The sequence below is a fragment of the Homo sapiens genome, chromosome 22 (genome assembly GCF_000001405.40).
Source record: "Homo sapiens chromosome 22, GRCh38.p14 Primary Assembly".
In the NCBI taxonomy this organism is placed as follows: domain Eukaryota; kingdom Metazoa; phylum Chordata; class Mammalia; order Primates; family Hominidae; genus Homo; species Homo sapiens.
In genome coordinates, this window is record NC_000022.11 from 41382635 (window position 1) to 41400452 (window position 17818).

Here is a 17818-nt window from a genome sequence, read left to right on the forward strand (position 1 = left end):
TTAGGAAGCGCAGGCCTAGGGTAGCGAACTGTCATCGTACGTGGCCTTACCCCTCCCGGAGGGACCTGGCTTCCTCCCTGGGTGTGAGTAGCGCCAGCTACTAGGTCCAACGGGAGCCTTTCTGTTGCGGGGCTTCTGCTGAGCGGGTGGGGGGGGTGTGGGCGAGTAGTGTGAGGCGCCTTGGGAGGGGAGTTTTGGGCCAAGCAGAGAAACGATGAGGGTCAGATGAGTCCACTGAGGCCCTTCGCCTGGTTGGTTGGGGCTGACCCTTAGATTCTGGGGCCACGGCGGCAGGACTGAGCTTCATCTTTTTGCCTAGGCCAGGAACGTCACTGGGGCGTATACGGAAAGCAGGTCTGGCCTTGTTTTTCGCCCTGGGAGATGGGGTGCAGGGAGCAGCAGGAGGGCCGCCTGTGGTGGGGTTGTGGGTGCACTGAGGTATACTTTGAGTGTGAGACCTTTGCATTTCCAAGAGCCATCAGTTATTCAGGGTTTGGGAAAGGGATAGGCCTTCGAGAGTTGTCTGGCCTGGGGAATGGATTTTCCTTTTTAAAATGCCATTTCTCTTCCTTTCCTGGGTGTATGCTGAGGCTCCCATCCCTGTGGCTGTCACTGTTGAGTTATAAATAGCTTCAGCACATCAGGTGAGGCCAGCCTCTCTCCTCCTGCTTTGGGACCTCATGTGCACAAACCCTTTTGTTTGTTTTTGAGACGGTGCTTTGTTCCAAATCTGGGGCTGAGACAAGCTGCAGGGACAGGTGTACACATCTGACAGTTTCTTGTTTGAAATTACCAGGTAATAACCATCCATAACAAGAATTCTACCCGATATTCGTAGAGTGCTCGCAAAGCACGCTGACATCATCTTATTTCATTAACAGTCCTAGAGGGTATTCTCCCCTCTTCCCAGATGAGGAAAATTGAGGCTCAGGGAGGTGAGGGTGCTTCCTCAAGGTCACACAGCTATAACTTTTGACCCTCAGTTTGGTGCTCTTTCTACTGTATCATGCTGGCAGCCACTGTTGCATGACCTGAGTGATGGACTAGTCCTTTATCTCTTACAATTTAAAATTCCACCTTACAAAAACACTGATTTAAAGTATCCTTTATTGCTTAGGCCAGGCAAAACCTGGAACTTATTGTTGCCTGTCTTTCACTATGGCTGCTTTTCTATCTCCTGCCTTCTCCTGCCTCCTTTGATCCCAAATGACCCCACCCGACATGGGTCACAGTCATTTCTGAACAGAGTGAGGAGTCCAGATCTCAAGGGAGGAGAGCAGGAAGGCCATCTGGCCCACCCAGCCCACCAAGGCTTGACTTTCTTACTTCTCAGTTGGTTTTAAACCAAAGCCTGGTATAGAAAGCAGTTGCAGGAATTCAGATTAATTTGTATTAGAAAGCCATGACCAAGTTGTTTGTCAAAACCTCCACCTTCTTAACTCACTGGGTGTGTTCATTTTTATTGGACCAACAAGCTGCTATTTGGTCTGGGAGTCCATGTGTGGCTGGTTTATTTCCAACTTAATCATATTTGATTTCTCCTTTTCACTTATAAATCCAGAGTTCAAAATTGTCTCCCTCAATTTTGAAAACCCATCATGAGCTTGTCATGATTTTATCTCCCACTTCCCTGATTAGCCTCCCTGTCACTTTGATTTCCTTCCAACCTTGTCACATTGCTCTCTTCTCTTTTTTTAATTGCCCTCTCTTGGATATCCACATGTGTAACTTTGTGACTGAGACAATTGGGTAGATCCAGTCCCCACTAATTGATTAGTTTTCCTTTGAATAGGAGCAGTCTTTCTTCTTCAACTCCACCCCTCTCCTTCCTCCCAGAAAACCTGCCTTCAGTCTTTTCTGCTTATTCAGGAATAAAGGTCTCTTGAAATGGTTGCTCTGAAAAGGGTCCTGAAAAGACAGCTCCAGGCCCTTTCTAATAAACCTAACCTGAATCTGTTTGCAAATCCAATATTCTACAGTTAGTATATATATTTTCCCATAGTCCACCGTCTGCCTACCCCTTGTTGGGCCCTTGAGATCTGGAAATAAATCAGTTCATACTTTCAGTGAGCCCACAGTAACAATGATGCCTACAGTGTGCCAGGAACACTGTAAAGACACTTTTTTTTTCTTTCGAGACAGACTTTCGCCCTCGTTGTCCAGGCTGGAGTGTAGTGGTACAGTCTCGTCTCATTACAAACCTCCGCCTCCAAGGTTCAAGCAATTCTCCTGCCTCAGCCTCCCAAGTAGCTGGGATTACAGGCATGCACCACTATTCCTGACTGATTTTTTGTATTTTTAGTAGAGACGGGGTTTCACCATGTTGGTCAGACTGGTCTCAAACTCCTGACCTCAGGTGATTTGCCCGCCTCGGACTCCCAAAGTGCTAGGATACAGGCGTGATCCCACTGCGCATGGCTGTAAAGACACTTTCAAATGTTATCTCTGGCCAGGCCCTGTGGCTTATGCCTGTAATCCCAGCACTTTGGGAGGCCAAGGTGGATGGATCACCTGAGGTCGGGAGTTCAAGACAAGCCTGACCAACATGGAGAAACCCTGTCTCTACTAAAACAAAATTAGCCGGGCATGGTAGCGCATGCCTGTAATCCCAGCTACTTGGGAGGCTGAGGCAGGAGAATCGCTTGAACACGGGAGGCGAAGGTTGTGGTGAGCTGAGACCGCGCCATTGCACTCCAGTCTGGGCAACAAGAGCGAAACTCCTTCTCATAAAAAAAAAAAAGTTATTTCTAATCTTCACCAAAGAAACATCTTTATCCTTATGTACAGTGGAGGATACCAAGGCTCAGAGAGGTTAAGTAACATGGCTAAGGTCACACATCAAACAGCAAGTGGCAAAAATGGGACTCCTCCCTGGGCTGGGTTGCTGTGGAGAAGCATAACTGGAGGGAACAGGACAGGGGAACACAGAAGTTCTTGGCCTGAAGATCTCAGCCCTTTCTAAGCTAAGGTATCAGGAAAGGTCAGAGACTCCATTTCCCTCCTTGTAGTCTCTCTCCTGCAGATGCTAATCCTACAGCCTATTCTGTTTTTGTTTTTGTTTTTTTGTGACGGAGTTTCACTCTTTGTGGCCCAGACTTGGGGTACAGTGGCATGATCTTGGCTCACTGCAACCTCTGCCTGTCAGGTTCAAGTGATTCTCCTGTCTCAGCCTCCTGAGTAGCTGGGATTACAGGCGCCCACCACCACACCCAACTAATTTTTGTATTTTTAGTAAAGACAGGGTTTCACCATGTTGGCCAGGCTGGTCTCAAACTCCTGACCTCAGGTGATCCACCCGCCTCAGCCTCCCAAAGTGCTGGGATTACAGGTGTGAGCCACCGCCCCCGGTACCTGGCTAATTTTTGTATTTTTAGGAGAGACAGGGTTTCATCATGTTGGCCTGGCTGGTCTCAAACTCCTGACCTCGGGATCCACTCGCCTGGGCCTCTCAAAGTACTGGGATTGCAATCCTGACCCCCCCGCACCTGGCCAGTGCTACAGGCTATTCTGAATTAACCCTGTGGCCAGGTGCAGTGGCTCACGCCTGTAATCCCATCACTTTGGGAGGCCAAGGCAGGTGGATCACCTGAGGTCAGAAGTTCGAAACCAGTCTGGCCAACATGTTGAAACCCCAGTCTCTACTAAATACAAAAAAAATTAATCAGGCGTGGTGCCGCATGCCTATAATCCCAGCTACTTGGGAGGCTGAGGCAGGAGAATCGCTTGAACCAGGGAGGCGGAGGTTGCAGTGAGCCTAGATTGTGCCATTGCACTCCAGCCTGGGCAACAGAGCGAAGCTCCATCTCAAAAAAAAAAATAAAACAGGCTGGGCGTGGTGGCTCATGCCTGTAATCCCAGTACTTTGGGAGGCTGAGGCGGGTGGATCACCTGAGGTCAGGAGTTTGAGACCAGTCTGGCCAACATGGTGAAACTCCGTCTCTACTAAAAATACAAAAAATTAGCTGGTCATGGTGGCAGGCTCCTGTAATCCCAGTTTACTGGGGAGACTGAGACAGGAGAATTGCTTGAACCCAGGAGGCAGAGGTTGCAGTGAGCCAAGATTGCGCCATTGTAAGCCAGCCGAAGCAACAAAAGTGAAACTCTGTCTCAAATAAATAAATAAAATAAAATAAAACAGGCCAGGCATAGTGGCTCATGCCTGTAATCCCAGCACTTTGGTGGGTGGATCACCTGAGCTCAGGAGTTCGAGACCAGCCTGGCCAACATAGTAAAACCCCATCTCTACTAAAAATACAAAAAATAGCTGGGCATGGTGGTGCGTACCTGTAATCCCAGCTACTCGGGAGTCTGAGGCACAAGAATCGCTTGAACCCAGGAGGTGGAGGTTGCAGCGAGCCGAAATTGGGTCACTGCACTCCAGCCTGGGCGACGAGCAAAATACTGTCTCAAAATAATAAAAACTAAAATAAAATTAAATAATGAATTAACCCTATGACCGCTTAAGGTCTCAGAGTATGTGGTAAGCCTTCTGGGAAGGCCAGGCATGGATGAGGATGGGATGCCGTGTCTAAAGGAAAACAGCCGGCCTGGTTCAAGTGCGAGATTCGAACTGGAGAATAGAGTAGGTTCTTGAAATGCATGGGTTGGAATCGGGGCTCTGAGAAAGATGGGCCAGGCCTGTGAGGCTCACTGCCCACTTCCTGGGATTGAGTTACTCTCCTGTGTGGTATTTCATCGCAGATTTTGTTTCTGCAGATAAGGAAAAGGGGAAGGAAAAGCTGGAGGAGGACGAGGCCGCAGCCGCCAGCACCATGGCTGTCTCAGCCTCCCTCATGCCACCCATCTGGGACAAGACCATCCCATATGATGGCGAATCTTTCCACCTGGAGTACATGGACCTGGATGAGTTCCTGCTGGAGAATGGCATCCCCGCCAGCCCCACCCACCTGGCCCACAACCTGCTGCTGCCTGTAGCAGAGCTAGAAGGGAAGGAGTCTGCCAGCTCTTCCACAGCATCCCCACCATCCTCCTCCACTGCCATCTTTCAGCCCTCTGAAACCGTGTCCAGCACAGGTTGGTGAAAGGCCATCGAGGAGGGCCACCTGTCCCATCCAGGGAAGTCCATTTCCCACTGAGGGCTGCTTGTGTCCATGTACCCAGTGAGTCCCTTCTCTGAGGGGAGGTCCTGGTGGGGCTGCAGTGTGGAGAAACTCTTCACTCCCCACCCTTCCACACAGTTCCCCGAGGCTGGAGATAAAAATAGTGGTCATGTCACTGGCAGTTGGAACCCTTCTGTTGGTTGCTGTGCTGCAAACAGTCAGGACAGGACCTTCCAGGCCACGGCATTACAGGATAGAAATCCCATTCTGCATTTCCTCAATGCTGCTCTTTTTTTTTTTTTTTTTTTTTTTTTTTTTTTTGAGAAGGAGTCTCGCTCTGTTGCCCAGGCTGGAGTGCAGTGGAGCAATCTCGGCTCACTGCCACCTCCACCTCCTGGGTTCAATCAATTCTCTGCCTCAGCCTCCTGAGTAGCTGGGATTACAGGCACCAGCCACCACGCCTGGCTAATTTTTTTATTTTTTAGTAGAGACAGAGTTTCATCATGTTGGCCAGGCTGGTCTCGAACTCCTAACCTCTGGTGATCTGCCCGCCTCAGCCTCCCAAAGTGCTGGGATTACAGGCGTAAGCTACCACGCACAGCCTTAATTTTTGTATTTTTAGTAGAGACGGGGTTTTGCCATATTTGTCAGGCTGGTCTTGGCTCACTGCAACCTCCATCTCCCGGATTGAAGCGATTTTTATTTTTAGTAGAGATGGGGTTTTGCCATATTTGTCAGGCTGGTCTTGAACTCCTGACCTCAGGTGATCGACCTACGTTGGCCTCCCAAAGTGGGGAATGCTTTCTTTGTGCCAGGGCATAAGCACTATTCAAGTGCTACCTCCATTACCTACTAGCCTGGGCAACAGAGTGAGACGCCATCTCAAAAAAAAAAAAAAAAGAAAGCATTCCCACCACCTGGCCAGGACAAACATCATCTTCAGAGTCTGTCCTTATTCCTCCTCCTTTTACATTTTATCTCTGGGGGTTTGTTTTCATGCTCCTTGGACACGAACCTACCAAAGGAGACATGGCTCCTGTTGCAGGGGTTCTGCAAAGCTTTCTGCAGTCTCTGAGGCATACAGGCTGATAGCTCCTGCCAGTCGGTATGTCACCCCAGGAATCCACACCCAATAAGTTCTCATACTCTATTTTTTTTTCTTTTTATTGTGGAAATTTTTTCAAACAAAATACAAAAGTAAGAGACGACTATAATGAACCTCTATGTAACCGTCACCCAGCTTCAACAATTCTCAACTCAGAAGCAGTTATTTTCAATCAAATTATAAGTATTTCAATATGTATCTAAAATATAAGGGTTCTTTTAAAAAAAACATAACGAAAATACTAGTTTTACATCTAAAGTTGACAATAAATCCATCAACATTCAGATTTCCAAAGTTGTCTCATAAATGGTATTTTACAGGCCGGGCGCAGTGGCTCACGTCTGTAATCCCAGCACTTTGGGAGGCCGAGGTGGGTGGATCACGAGGTCAGGAGATTGAGACCATCCTGGTTAACACGGTGAAACCCCATCTCTACTAAAAAGTACAAAAAATTAGCCGGGTGTGGTGGCGGGTGCCTATAGTGCCAACTACTCGGGAGGCTGAGGCAGGAGAATGGCGTGAACCCAGGAGGCAGAGCTTGCAGTGAACCGAGATTGCACCACTGCACTCCAGCCTGGGCGACAGAGCAAGACTCCATCTCAAAGAAAAAAAAAGATCGAGACCATCCTGGCCAACATGGTGAAACCTCGACTCTACTAAAAATACAAAAATTAGCTGGGCATGGTGGTGCGTGTCTGTAATCCCAGCTACTTGGAGGCTGAGGCAGGAAAATCGCTTGAACCCGGGAGGCGGAGGTTGCAGTGAGCCGAGATGGCGCCACTGCACTCCAGCCTGGTGACAGAGCAAGACTCCATCTCAAAATAAATAAATAAAAGTTTTTTTTTTTTTTCTGTAGAGTCAGGGTATCACTGTGTTGCCCTGGCTGGTTTCAAATTCATGGCCTCAAACAGTCCTCCCACCTGGGCCTCCCGAAGTGTTGGTTGAAATTACAGGCATGAGCCACTACACCCAGCCGCTTTGTTAAGTTTCATTGCTGAATAGTAGTCAATTGTACTAACGTACCACAGCTTATCCATTTAACCGTTGAAGGACATTCTGATTTTGGTTATGAATAATGCTGCCATGAACATTCATGTGCATGTCTTTTTTTTTTTTTGAGACGGAGTCTTGCTTTTGTCGCCCAGGCTGGAGTGCAGTGGCGGGGTCTCAGCTCACTGCAACCTCCGCCTCCTGGGTTTAAGCGATTCTCCTGCCTCAGCCTCCCAGGTAGCTGGTATTACAGGTGTGCGCCACCACTCCTGGCTTATTTTTGTAGAGATGGGGTTTTGCCATGTTGGCCAGGTTGGTCTCAAACTCCTGACCTCAGGTGATCCACCTGCCTCACCTTCCAAAGTTCTGGGATTACAAGTGTGAGCCACTGTGCCTGGCCCATCTACATGTTTTTTGGTAAATATATATATGCGTTTCTTTTGGGCATTTGCTTAGGAAGAGAATGGCTAGGTCATTGGACATGCATATGTTCAGTTTGTGTAGACCCTGCCAAATAGCGTACAAAGTTGTTATATCCATTTGTACTCACACCAGCAGGGCATTGGAGTTCCATTGTCAGCCTTTGATTTTGACATCTTTTGTAATGGTGGACCTATGAGAGAATTATATTTCAGGCAAGTTACCAACAGATCTATTCCCTTTCCCTCTTCTTCCAGCAAAGTCATTTTAAGGTCTCATTGTCATCTTTTTTTTTTTTTTTTTTTTTTTTTGAGATGGAGTCTCACTCTGTCACCCAGACTGGAGTGCAGTGGTGCGATCTCGGCTCCCGCAACCTCCGCCTCGCAGGTTCAAGTTCTCCTGCCTCAGCCTCCTGAGTAGCTGGGAATACAGGCGCCCACCACCACACCTGGCTAATTTTTGTATTTTCAGTAGAGACAGGGTTTCACCGTGTTGGCCAGGCTGGTCTTGAACTCCTCACCTCAGGTGATCCACCTGCCTCGGAAAGTGCTGGGATTACAGGCGTGAGCCACTGCGCTCAGCCCTCATTGTCATTTTCTAGAATTTGTTCATAGAGGTATCCATGGGGAAATGAGAATTCCTCAAAATCTTGTCCCCAGGCCTCTTTGCAAATTTTCCCCTTTTGTTTCCTGCGGCTTTCTCTTATCCTGTCCCTGAAACTTAACCACATCTTGCCACTTGGTTGTTGCTGAAGGGCACCCAGGCATGGCGTCACTTTGAACAACATTCTCATGTGGTAGGTACCTGAGCTGCTTGTCTTGCAGGTACTAGGTTTGGCATGCCCGAAACTGCCTACAGTTACCATGTGGGTCCCTGGTCATTCACTCCTCTGACACTCAGATGTCTCTGTAATTAACCCCTGTCTAATAGGATACAATGAATTTATGTGCATAATCCAATTAAAGCCTAAGTCTGATCATGCCACACCTCTGCCCAGAGCCCTCCAGGTGTTCTATCTCAGGATAAAAGTCAGAATCAGCAGCACCATTGACATTTAGACCAGATGATTTTTTGTTGGGGTTGGAGGCGTGACTGACCTATGCATTGCAGGATCTTCTTTTCTTTTTTTTTTTTTTAAGACAGTCTTATTCTGTCACCCAGGCTGGAGTGCAGTGGTGTGATCTCAGCTCGCTGCGACCTCTGCCTCCCGGGTTCAAGCGAGTCTCCTGCCTCAGCCCCCTGAGTAGCTGGGATAACAGGCACGGCCGGCTACTTTTTGTATTTTTAGTAGAGACGGGGTTTCATCGTATTGGTCAGGCTGGTCTCGAACTCCTGACCTCAGGTGATCCACCCACCTCAGCCTCTCAAAGTGCCGGGATTACAGGCATGAGCCACCACACCAGGCCGGCATCTGACTTTTTTTTTTTTTTTTGAGAGGGAGTCTCACTCTGTCGCCAGGCTGGAGTGCAGTGGCACCATCTTGGCTCACTGCAATCTCTGCCTACTGGGTTTAAGCAATTCTCCTGCCTCAGTCTCCTGAGTAGCTGGGACTACAGGCGCATGCCATCACGCCCAGCTAATTTTCGTATTTTTAGTAGAGACGGGGTTTCACCATGTTGGCCAGGATGGTCTCGATCTCTTGACCTCGTGATCCACACGCCTCGGCCTCCCAGAGTGCTGAGATTACAGGTGTGCACCACCACGCCTGGCCCATCTGACATTTTTATATATCGTTTGTATTTATCTTGTGTAATGCAGCTTTCCCCACTAGAATAACATTTCATGCAGGCAGGGATTTTTAGCTGTTTGTTAACTGTTTTGTCTTTGCCAGGACAGAACCTGGCATATAACAGGTATTCAATAAGTATCTGTTGACTGAATAATTATTTTGTATACTCCTATCAGTAGCATTGAATGAGCTGGCCAAAGGTATAGTTTTTCTTAATATAACTCTTATCTCTAATAACACACAACCTTAGAATTCTAGAGGTGGTTTTAACCCAATCGGTGTCCACTATTAAATGGCAGCCAGGTGGGGCAGGGAAGAACAAGGAATCAGCCAGCCAGACTAAGTTTCAAATTTTAGTTCAATTGCTTATCATCTGTGTGACTCTGGGAAAACCATTTTATTTCTCTGAGCGTTAGTTTCTTCATCTGTAAACTAGTTGTCATAAGACTAAATGGGGCCGGGCGCAGTGGCTCACACCTGTAATCCCAGCACTTTGGGAGGCCGAGGCAGGTGGATCACCAAGTCAGGAGATTGAGACCATCCTGGCCAACATAGTGAAACCCCGTCTCTACTAAAAATACAAAAATTAGCCGAGCATGGTAGTGGGCGCCAGTAGTCCCAGCTACTTGGGAGGCTGAGGCAGGAGAATAGCTTGAACCCAGGAGGTCAAGGTTGCAGTGAGCTGAGATCACGCCACTACACTCCACCCTGGGAAACAGAGTGAGACTCTTCAAAAAAAAAAAAAAAAAAAAAAAAGACTAAGTGACTAGATGGCACAGTAACAGACATGTCTCAGGGACTCAAAAGTGGAACCCGGGCTGGACGTGGTGGCTCACACCTGTAATCCCAGCATTTTGGGAGGCCGAGGCGGGTGGATCACTTGAGCTCAGCAGTTCAAGACCAGCCTGGCCAACATGGTGAAACCCTGTCTCTACTAAAAATACAAAAACTAGCCAGGCGTGGTGGCTTATGCCTGTTGTCTCCACTACTCGGGAGGCTGAGTCGGGAATCGGTTGAACCCGGGAAGTGGAGGCTGCAGTGAGCCAAGATTGCACCAGTGCACTCTACCCTGAGTGACAGAGCAAGACTCAGTCTCAAAAGAAAAAGAAAAGTGGAGCCTGGCCAGGTGCAGTGGCTCACACCTGTAATCCCAGCACTTTCAGAGGCTGAAGCAGGAAGATCACTTGAGCCTAGGAGTTTGAGACCAGCCCTGGCAACATAATGAAACCCTGTCTCTAAAAAATAAAAAAAAATTAGCCAGGCGTGTTGGTGTGCATCCGCGGTCCCAGCTACTCAGGAGGCTGAGGCAAGAGGATCACTCCAGCCCAGAAGGTCGAGGGTGCAGTGAGCCATGATCATACCACTATACTCCAGCCTAGGTGACAGAGCAAGACCCTGTCTCAAAAAAAAAAAAAAAAAATTGGAACCCATTTCCATTCTTCAGTCTGTGTCTGCCTGGAGAGACACAGCTGTTTCTCATTACTGGAGATCTTGAAATCACAGGAAGTTAAGGGAATATAAAAATTTAATGTTTTAGGCTGGGCGCAGTGGCTCATGCCTGTAATCCCAGCACTTTGGGAGGCCAAGGCAGGCGGATCACAAGGTCAGGAGATCAAGACCATCCTGGCTAACACAGTAAAACCTCATCTCTACTAAAAATACAAAAAAATTAGCCAGGCTTGGTGGCGGGCACCTGCGGTGGCAGGCGCCTGTAGTCCCAGCTACTCAGGAGGCTGAGGCAGGAGAGTGGCATGAACCCGGGAGGCGGAGCTTGCAATGAGCCGAGATTGCGCCACTGCACTCCAGCCTGGGCGACAGAGCAAGACTCCCATCTCAAAAAAAAAAAAAAAAAAAAATTAATGTTTTGCTTAACATTTCTGGAGGGGGTGGAAACAATTGGAAAACCCTGTCTTTTTCTAGGGCTTCTGTTTCCTTTTGAGCATTCTGTTCCTGAAGGAAAGAATTCTTTGAATGTTTGTGTTGTGGAATTGAACCGTGTGCCAGTCTGGCTTAGGGGCTGGTACTGTTGGGGTTTTCTTCTCCCCAGGCGGCAGTGGCTTATGCAGCCTTGAGGTTCAACCAGGTGTCTGGGTGTGTGGCGTGGGTCTTCTCTGTCCAGTGGGCTGCTTCGGGACCACCTGTCTCTGTGTCTTTTAGAATCTTCCCTGGAGAAGGAGAGGGAGACTCCCAGTCCCATCGACCCCAATTGTGTGGAAGTGGATGTGAACTTCAATCCGGACCCCGCCGACCTGGTGCTCTCCAGTGTGCCAGGCGGGGAGCTCTTCAACCCTCGGAAGCACAAGTTTGCTGAGGAGGACCTGAAGCCCCAGCCTATGATCAAAAAGGCCAAGAAGGTCTTTGTCCCCGACGAGCAGAAGGTAACCTGGTATTCCTTATAAATAAAGATGCAGCGTTGGTTCAAGGGCCTAGGGGATATGGCTCCTCGCATTTGATTTTATCTGGAGAGCCTTCCCTCCTTGTGACACCATTTGGAAAGACATGAGTTTAGTGCTTAAAGCCATATCCTTCAGCAGTTTGGTAGAAAGAAAGGGAGTCATGTGGCATTTGGCCCCAGTGTGACTCCCTGTAGTTTCTCTCCTTCCCCGGGCCATCGGCTGTGTTGATGTTCCTGCCTCCCTGGCTGTAGCCCAGCCACTGGGCAAGAGCTCACTAGGCCACAGGAACTGGGGTTGAAAAAGTCCTTGCTTTGAAGGACAAAGGGTTTCTTGTATGTTGCCATCCCCAGGGATGAGCAAGCAGCTTTCAAGCTGGTGGTGCTGTTAGGAACTGGTGGGAAGAGAGAATTTTGCAGTTTTCCATCCTTTCCTATGAAAAACTTACAGCAAGGATTTTTCATCCAAATCTTTGGAGTCAGGCACACCTGGGTCCAAACTCCATGTTGCCACTTGTGGCCTAGCTGTGCCTCAAGTTCCTCATCTGTAAAACGGGAGCAACTGAACCTCCCTCCCGGGGAGGTTTGTGAGACTTTAATAATGATGTGATGATCATGGTGAATATTTAGATGGTACTCACTGTAGGCCAGGCACTGATTTTTGTTTTGTTTGTTTTTGTTTTGTTTTGTTTTTGAGACAGAGTCTCACTTTGTCACCCAGGCTGGAGTGCAGTGGCGTGATCTCGGCTCACTGCAACTTCCGCCTCCCAGGTTCAACCGATTCTTGTGCCTCACCCTCCTGAGTAGCTGAGATTACAGATGTGCACCACCACGCCGGCTAATTTTTGTATTCTTAGTAGAGATGGGGTTTCATCATATTGGCCAGGCTGGTCTTAAACTCCTCACCTCAAGTGATCCACCTGCCTCAGCCTCCCAAAATGCTGGGATTACAGGTGTGAGCCACCATGCCTGGCCTGTTATTTCTCAGTGTAAAGATAAGGGACCTGTGATATTGAGGGGTTAAAGTACTTGCACAGTTTCACTGCTAGTAATCTTGGAGAGCCAAGATCTGAACTCGGGGATCTAGGCCCTTACCCACAACCAACATGCCTAAGTAAGGCAAGGGTGTGGACAGTGCAATGCTTTGTGCTGGAGCAGCAGGTACCAGGCCTCCAGGAGATGAGTCTCCTTCTCTTCACCATGTAACGTACCAAATAACTTTTGTTTCTCGTCCTGCCCCCGAGGAAAGGGCAGTGCCCTCAATGTGCCCTGGTTTGTGCTGCTCCCTCCCTGGTATCCCTGCTTTAGCTCTGGCCACACCAGATGAGTTAGGGGAATCCAGGTGGTGGGAGTGGAAAAATTGGGTTCTCTCGTGGGGAAAGACGAGAGACTCACAGAGGGCACTTCCCCACAGGATGAAAAGTACTGGACAAGACGCAAGAAGAACAACGTGGCAGCTAAACGGTCACGGGATGCCCGGCGCCTGAAAGAGAATCAGATCACCATCCGGGCAGCCTTCCTGGAGAAGGAGAACACAGCCCTGCGGACGGAGGTGGCCGAGCTACGCAAGGAGGTGGGCAAGTGCAAGACCATCGTGTCCAAGTATGAGACCAAATACGGGCCCTTGTAACCCGTGCCCCCCGCCCGGGCGGGGTACTGCCTGCACCTCAGACCTCTGCCTGGGGGCTCCCTGTAACCCCTCACACGCGTGGAGACTTATGACTCGTCGTGGGCGCATGGCGGCGCACCTGCTGCAGGAGCGGCCACGTCTCAGCTTCATTATACCATGGCCTGCGCACGTGGCGACGTCCCTGAGGGGCCAGTCTCCTCACTGGTGGGGAACGCAAGAGAATCTGCGTAGATGGGTGACTCAGCCTTAGTTTCTATTCTTGGATGTCCCAGTTGAATCAGAAGGGGACCTCTGGAGTACACACCTCTCTCCTGGGCGCTCAGGGTCCCTGGACTCTCCCTCAGTCTCCAGCCTGGGCTGCCGAGGGCTATCTCTGCAGAATGAGTTGTGATCATTGTCACCCTATGTCTTCTCAGGTAGCAGGGCGCGTTTCCACTTAAGGTGTGTCTGTCACGCACCTCATTCTCCCCAGACAGTCTTTGAGTAACATCTGTTCCCATCTTCCTTGGAAGCAGGACACACCAGCTCCTCCGTCAGTGTCTGCATGGGTAGCAGGCTGCAGGAGTGGGGTCTCTGCACAGCCTGGGATGGGGCTTGGGGCTGGGGCCTGCAGCAGAAGTGTGCCCAGCGTTTCTCGGCTCCCGCACCCCTTTTCCCTTATGGCTCTGAGGCCATCGGCTGTCTCTGCATTTCATTGGCTGTGGAGGAGAGACTCCTAGGATGGCTGCTGTCTGAGCCATGAGTGCCAGGGCTGAGAGAGGCCTCTTCATTTCCTCTCCAGGCTACTCAGAGGCCATGTGAAGCTCGTTTGTCCCACTAGACCAGGCCTCTGGGCCTGCTCTTTCTTTCCACCCAATGTCCAGTCTTGGATCATAGATTTAAAAGGAAAACCCCTCTTATCTAGGAGGCTTTAACTTCCTGGACCCCAGGATTCACCTTCCTAGTGGTGTTTAGAAAATGCCTCCACAGCCCCCTTCCACCATGGGCATGAGAGCTGGGGTGTGTTTCTTGAGAAGCTCCCTTTTTTCTTGCTCTGCTCACCGGTGTGGCCTGGGCTGGAGTGCACTCTCCCTGGGGGCAGCTGGGGCCTCGCAATTCTTGCTTCAGGATCTCTCCCATGCGAGCTGCCCGGAGGGTGTCAGCAGGGCAAGACACCTAGTCTAGAGTCACCAAGGTCACAGTGCCACTTTCACGGGATAGCAGGCTCTTGGGACTTTTACACAGGCCTAGGGTCCCCTCAGTCTTGGTCCCAGGAGATGGGGGCCACTCGTGAGGCTGGCCATGCTGTGGCTTCTCACAGCTGTGGTCTCCCCTGCCTCACAACGACTCCTTTCTCTTGTGTGGCGGGACTCGCCCTTTTGCTGTGCTCAGAAGATTCACTGAGGAAACTCATGGAAGCCTCTGCTCATTTGGGTCACTGGGACACCCCTGAGATGGGTGTGTTTATTTGCTCAGGGCGGGCAGCCTATGGTGAAGAGGAGACAGAGGCGATGGGCGTGCTTCGTCCTCCGTAACACTGGCTTTATTTACCGTGGTGGTTCAGAGTCCCAGGCCCTGACCTCTAAAGACTTTTCATAACAGACGTTAAGACCAAGCCGTGGACCTCACCCCAGGGGAATGCCACGGCCCTTTGGGGACCTGCACACCCACCTCTCCGGGGGACTTGACAAGGGGCCCTGAGGCCAAGGGAGGTCACTCCTCCCTCCAGGCCCCTGACTTTTACTTTGTGGTTCTCTAAAAACCATGTACACACTTTCACTCTATTGTAACCACACAGGGCAGGCGCATCCAGCATGTCAGTGTCCTGCCCCGGGCAGCTCTCCCTCCCGGGCACGCTCCCTCTGGCCTGGTGGATCACCAAGAGGGCGGTTCTCATTTTGTTATTAGTGGAAGAGCCTTGAGCTTAAAAGCTCTTCATTTTCTTTGCCGGAAAGTATATGGTTTGTGTTTTTGCAGTTTTATTTTTTTAAGGATGGACACTAAATCTCTGGTGTCCATGTTCCGAGCCCGGTGGCTGGGATGGTGGCTCGATGTGTCTCCTCTTTATCCCGCCCTCTGCCTGTTTGGTGCCCTCCCTTCTTTCCCCCAGGCAGTGGGTATCGGGTTCTTTCCCAAAGTGCTTACTTGGAAAGAGTGTGGCTGCTGGACTCTTTTCGAAATGCCCCTCTGAGTCAGGAGCCTGGTGGGGACAAGATGGAGGATGTCCACAGAGGCTGACCTGTGGGGGAAAAGAAGTGCTCAGGTAAGGTTGTCTCCTCTCCTGTCCTAAAAAAATCCATGCTTGCAGGAGAGGGTTGGTGCCTGCTCAGTTTCTGTCGAGGGAATGGGAGTCTCCTCGGCTCCCTCCTGGGCCCTCTGCTTCTTGGAGGCCGACCGCTGGAGACTGCGGCTCCTGTGCTTGGATCTTTGACATCTGTCAGTCACTGGAGGCTAGAGAAGTTGACTTTACCTTGGCTTTCTGTGGGTTCCCGATGGGCTTGGAAGTGCCGTCTACTTCCTAAGCATCCTGTCTAAAGCTTTGTGGCACCCTCAGTGCAACCTCAGAACAGACAAATCATGAATGAGCTGGAACTTTGCAAGAATATTCATATTATAAATGTCTCATCTGATGGAGGAACGTGTGCATTTAGAGAGAGGGAGAGTTTTCAAGGTTTATGGCAACTTTGTGGAGGACCTGGGTAACTCTTACCCTTGGCCAAAGGAAGAGGTTTTCCTGTCTGGCTTCTGAGGTTGGAGGGGGCACTTAGCAGTGAACCTTAAGTCTGGGTACATGTAACCCTGCTGAGGGGCTGTGCAGGCCGCTCCTACGGTCCTTTGGCCTGAGGCAGGGCGGGAGGCATGCAAGCCAGTGGGGGAAAACCCCTCTGAAGCTGGGCAGCCCTCTACCTGGGCCCCGGGAGCCGTGCTCCTTGGAACGCAAAGGGCCGAGGAGCATCTGGTTTTCATGGCAAAGCTCTACTCCAGAGCTCCTTTAACATCTGCTAATTAAGTGCAATAAATTTTTCTAGAAAATGGCAAAGATGACTTCCAGGTGGATATTGCTCTCTTACGGTGTTGGGGATGCCAGAACACCACTTGGTTTTATTTTTCTAAGTGCATGTGATGTGATAGAGTGTGTGGGGCTCTGTGTCCTTCCCTGGGAGCTGGCATTCCAGCGGGCCCCTCTCTTTACCTTTGTTGGGGGAAGGAGGCAAGAGAGAAATTCCTTCTTCCCAGCCAGAGAGGGCAGAAGCAGACCGTAGCCCATTGGCCTTATGTGCGTGTGTGCGTGCGAGTGTGTCACTGCTGGTGGGCCGGAGTGATGTGGTGGGAGGGAAGCCGGGAATGTATCCTTTTCAGACAAAATTAAATATTTTGAAATGAGAATGTTGGGATTGTCTTTTCTGTCCTTCTCCCCACCCCCAACCCTGAGTTTCCTCTCTTGAGTGTTGGCCTAGGAGCTGGAGAGTCAAGCTGGAAAACTTTTATCTCATTAGAATCCACCCCAGACACCCCCTTCATCACAGTCCAGACACTCTTAGCATCTGACCCCAACCACTCTGCCTCAGTTTCCTCATCTATCAGATGGAAGTGATTCTCGCCTTGCTTATATTGAGGAGGGACAAATATTAGACCAAAAGCAGTTTGAACAGGTAAAGGTGCTACACAACTAGAAGACAGGGAACTGCTTATGACAAGTGTTCTCGAATAGAGAATGCGTGATGGCAGCTCTGTAAAGAAAAGAAAGGGCTGGGCGCGGTGGCTCACGCCTGTAATCCCAGCACTTTGGGAGGCCAAGGCAGGCAAATCACAAAGTCAGGAGTTCGAGACCAGCCTGACCAATATGGTGAAACCCCATCTCTACTAAAAATACAAAAAATTAGCCGAGCGTGGTGGCGGACACCTGTAATCCCAGCTACTCAGGAGGCTGAGGCATGAGAATCGCTTGAACCTGGGATGCAGAGGTTGCAGTGAGCTGAGACCATGCCACTGCACTCCAGCTTGGGCAGCAGAGCGAGACTCCATCTAAAAAAAAAAAAAAAAAAAGGAAAGGACAGGCACGGTGGCTCACGCCTGTAATCCAAGTGCTTTGGGAGGCCGAGGCAGGCAGATCACTTGAGGTCAGGAGTTTGAGTCCGTTTGAGTCCAGCCTGGCCAACATGGTGAAACCCTGTCTCTACTAAAAATACAAAAATTAGCTGGGCATGGTGGTGCAGGCCTGTAATCCCAGCCACTTGGGAGGCAGAGGCTGGAGAGCTGCTTGAACCTGGGAGGTGGAGGTTGCAATGAGCCAAGGTTGCGCCACTGCACTCCAGCCTGGGCGATAGAGCGACACTTGTCTCAAAAACAAAACAAAACAAAACAAAACAAAAAAAACCGAGAGGACTAAAGAGTTGGATCCTCTTGGTGGGACTCTTGAGGGTTTTCCTTTTCTCCTGTTCTTTGGCTATAAAACATTTATAATTTTTTTTGGGGGGGGGGACAGAGTCTTGCTCTGTCACCAGGCTTGAGT

The 17818-nt window shown here is 49.9% G+C and overlaps 1 protein-coding gene across 2 annotated transcripts in view, besides 1 other annotated feature; it reads left to right on the top strand.

The window, feature by feature from the left end:
- Positions 1–16692, top strand: part of TEF (TEF transcription factor, PAR bZIP family member) — a 31872-nt gene extending 15180 nt beyond the window's left edge. For both annotated transcript variants that reach the window (NM_001145398.3, NM_003216.4), the window contains exons 2-4: positions 4717–5034; positions 11462–11682; positions 13111–16692. In NM_001145398.3, coding sequence (NP_001138870.1) covers positions 4717–5034; positions 11462–11682; positions 13111–13326 — 755 coding nt within the window. In that variant the 3' untranslated portion in view covers positions 13327–16692. The remainder of the gene's footprint in view (positions 1–4716; positions 5035–11461; positions 11683–13110) is intronic.
- Positions 67–146: an enhancer, noted in NCBI's record as "active region_19113". NCBI's record gives its function as "activates an Ori minimal core promoter by ATAC-STARR-seq in GM12878 lymphoblastoid cells {active_cell/tissue: GM12878}" and the evidence as "EXISTENCE:reporter gene assay evidence [ECO:0000049][PMID:35858748]".
- Positions 16693–17818: the final 1126 nt, after the last annotated feature.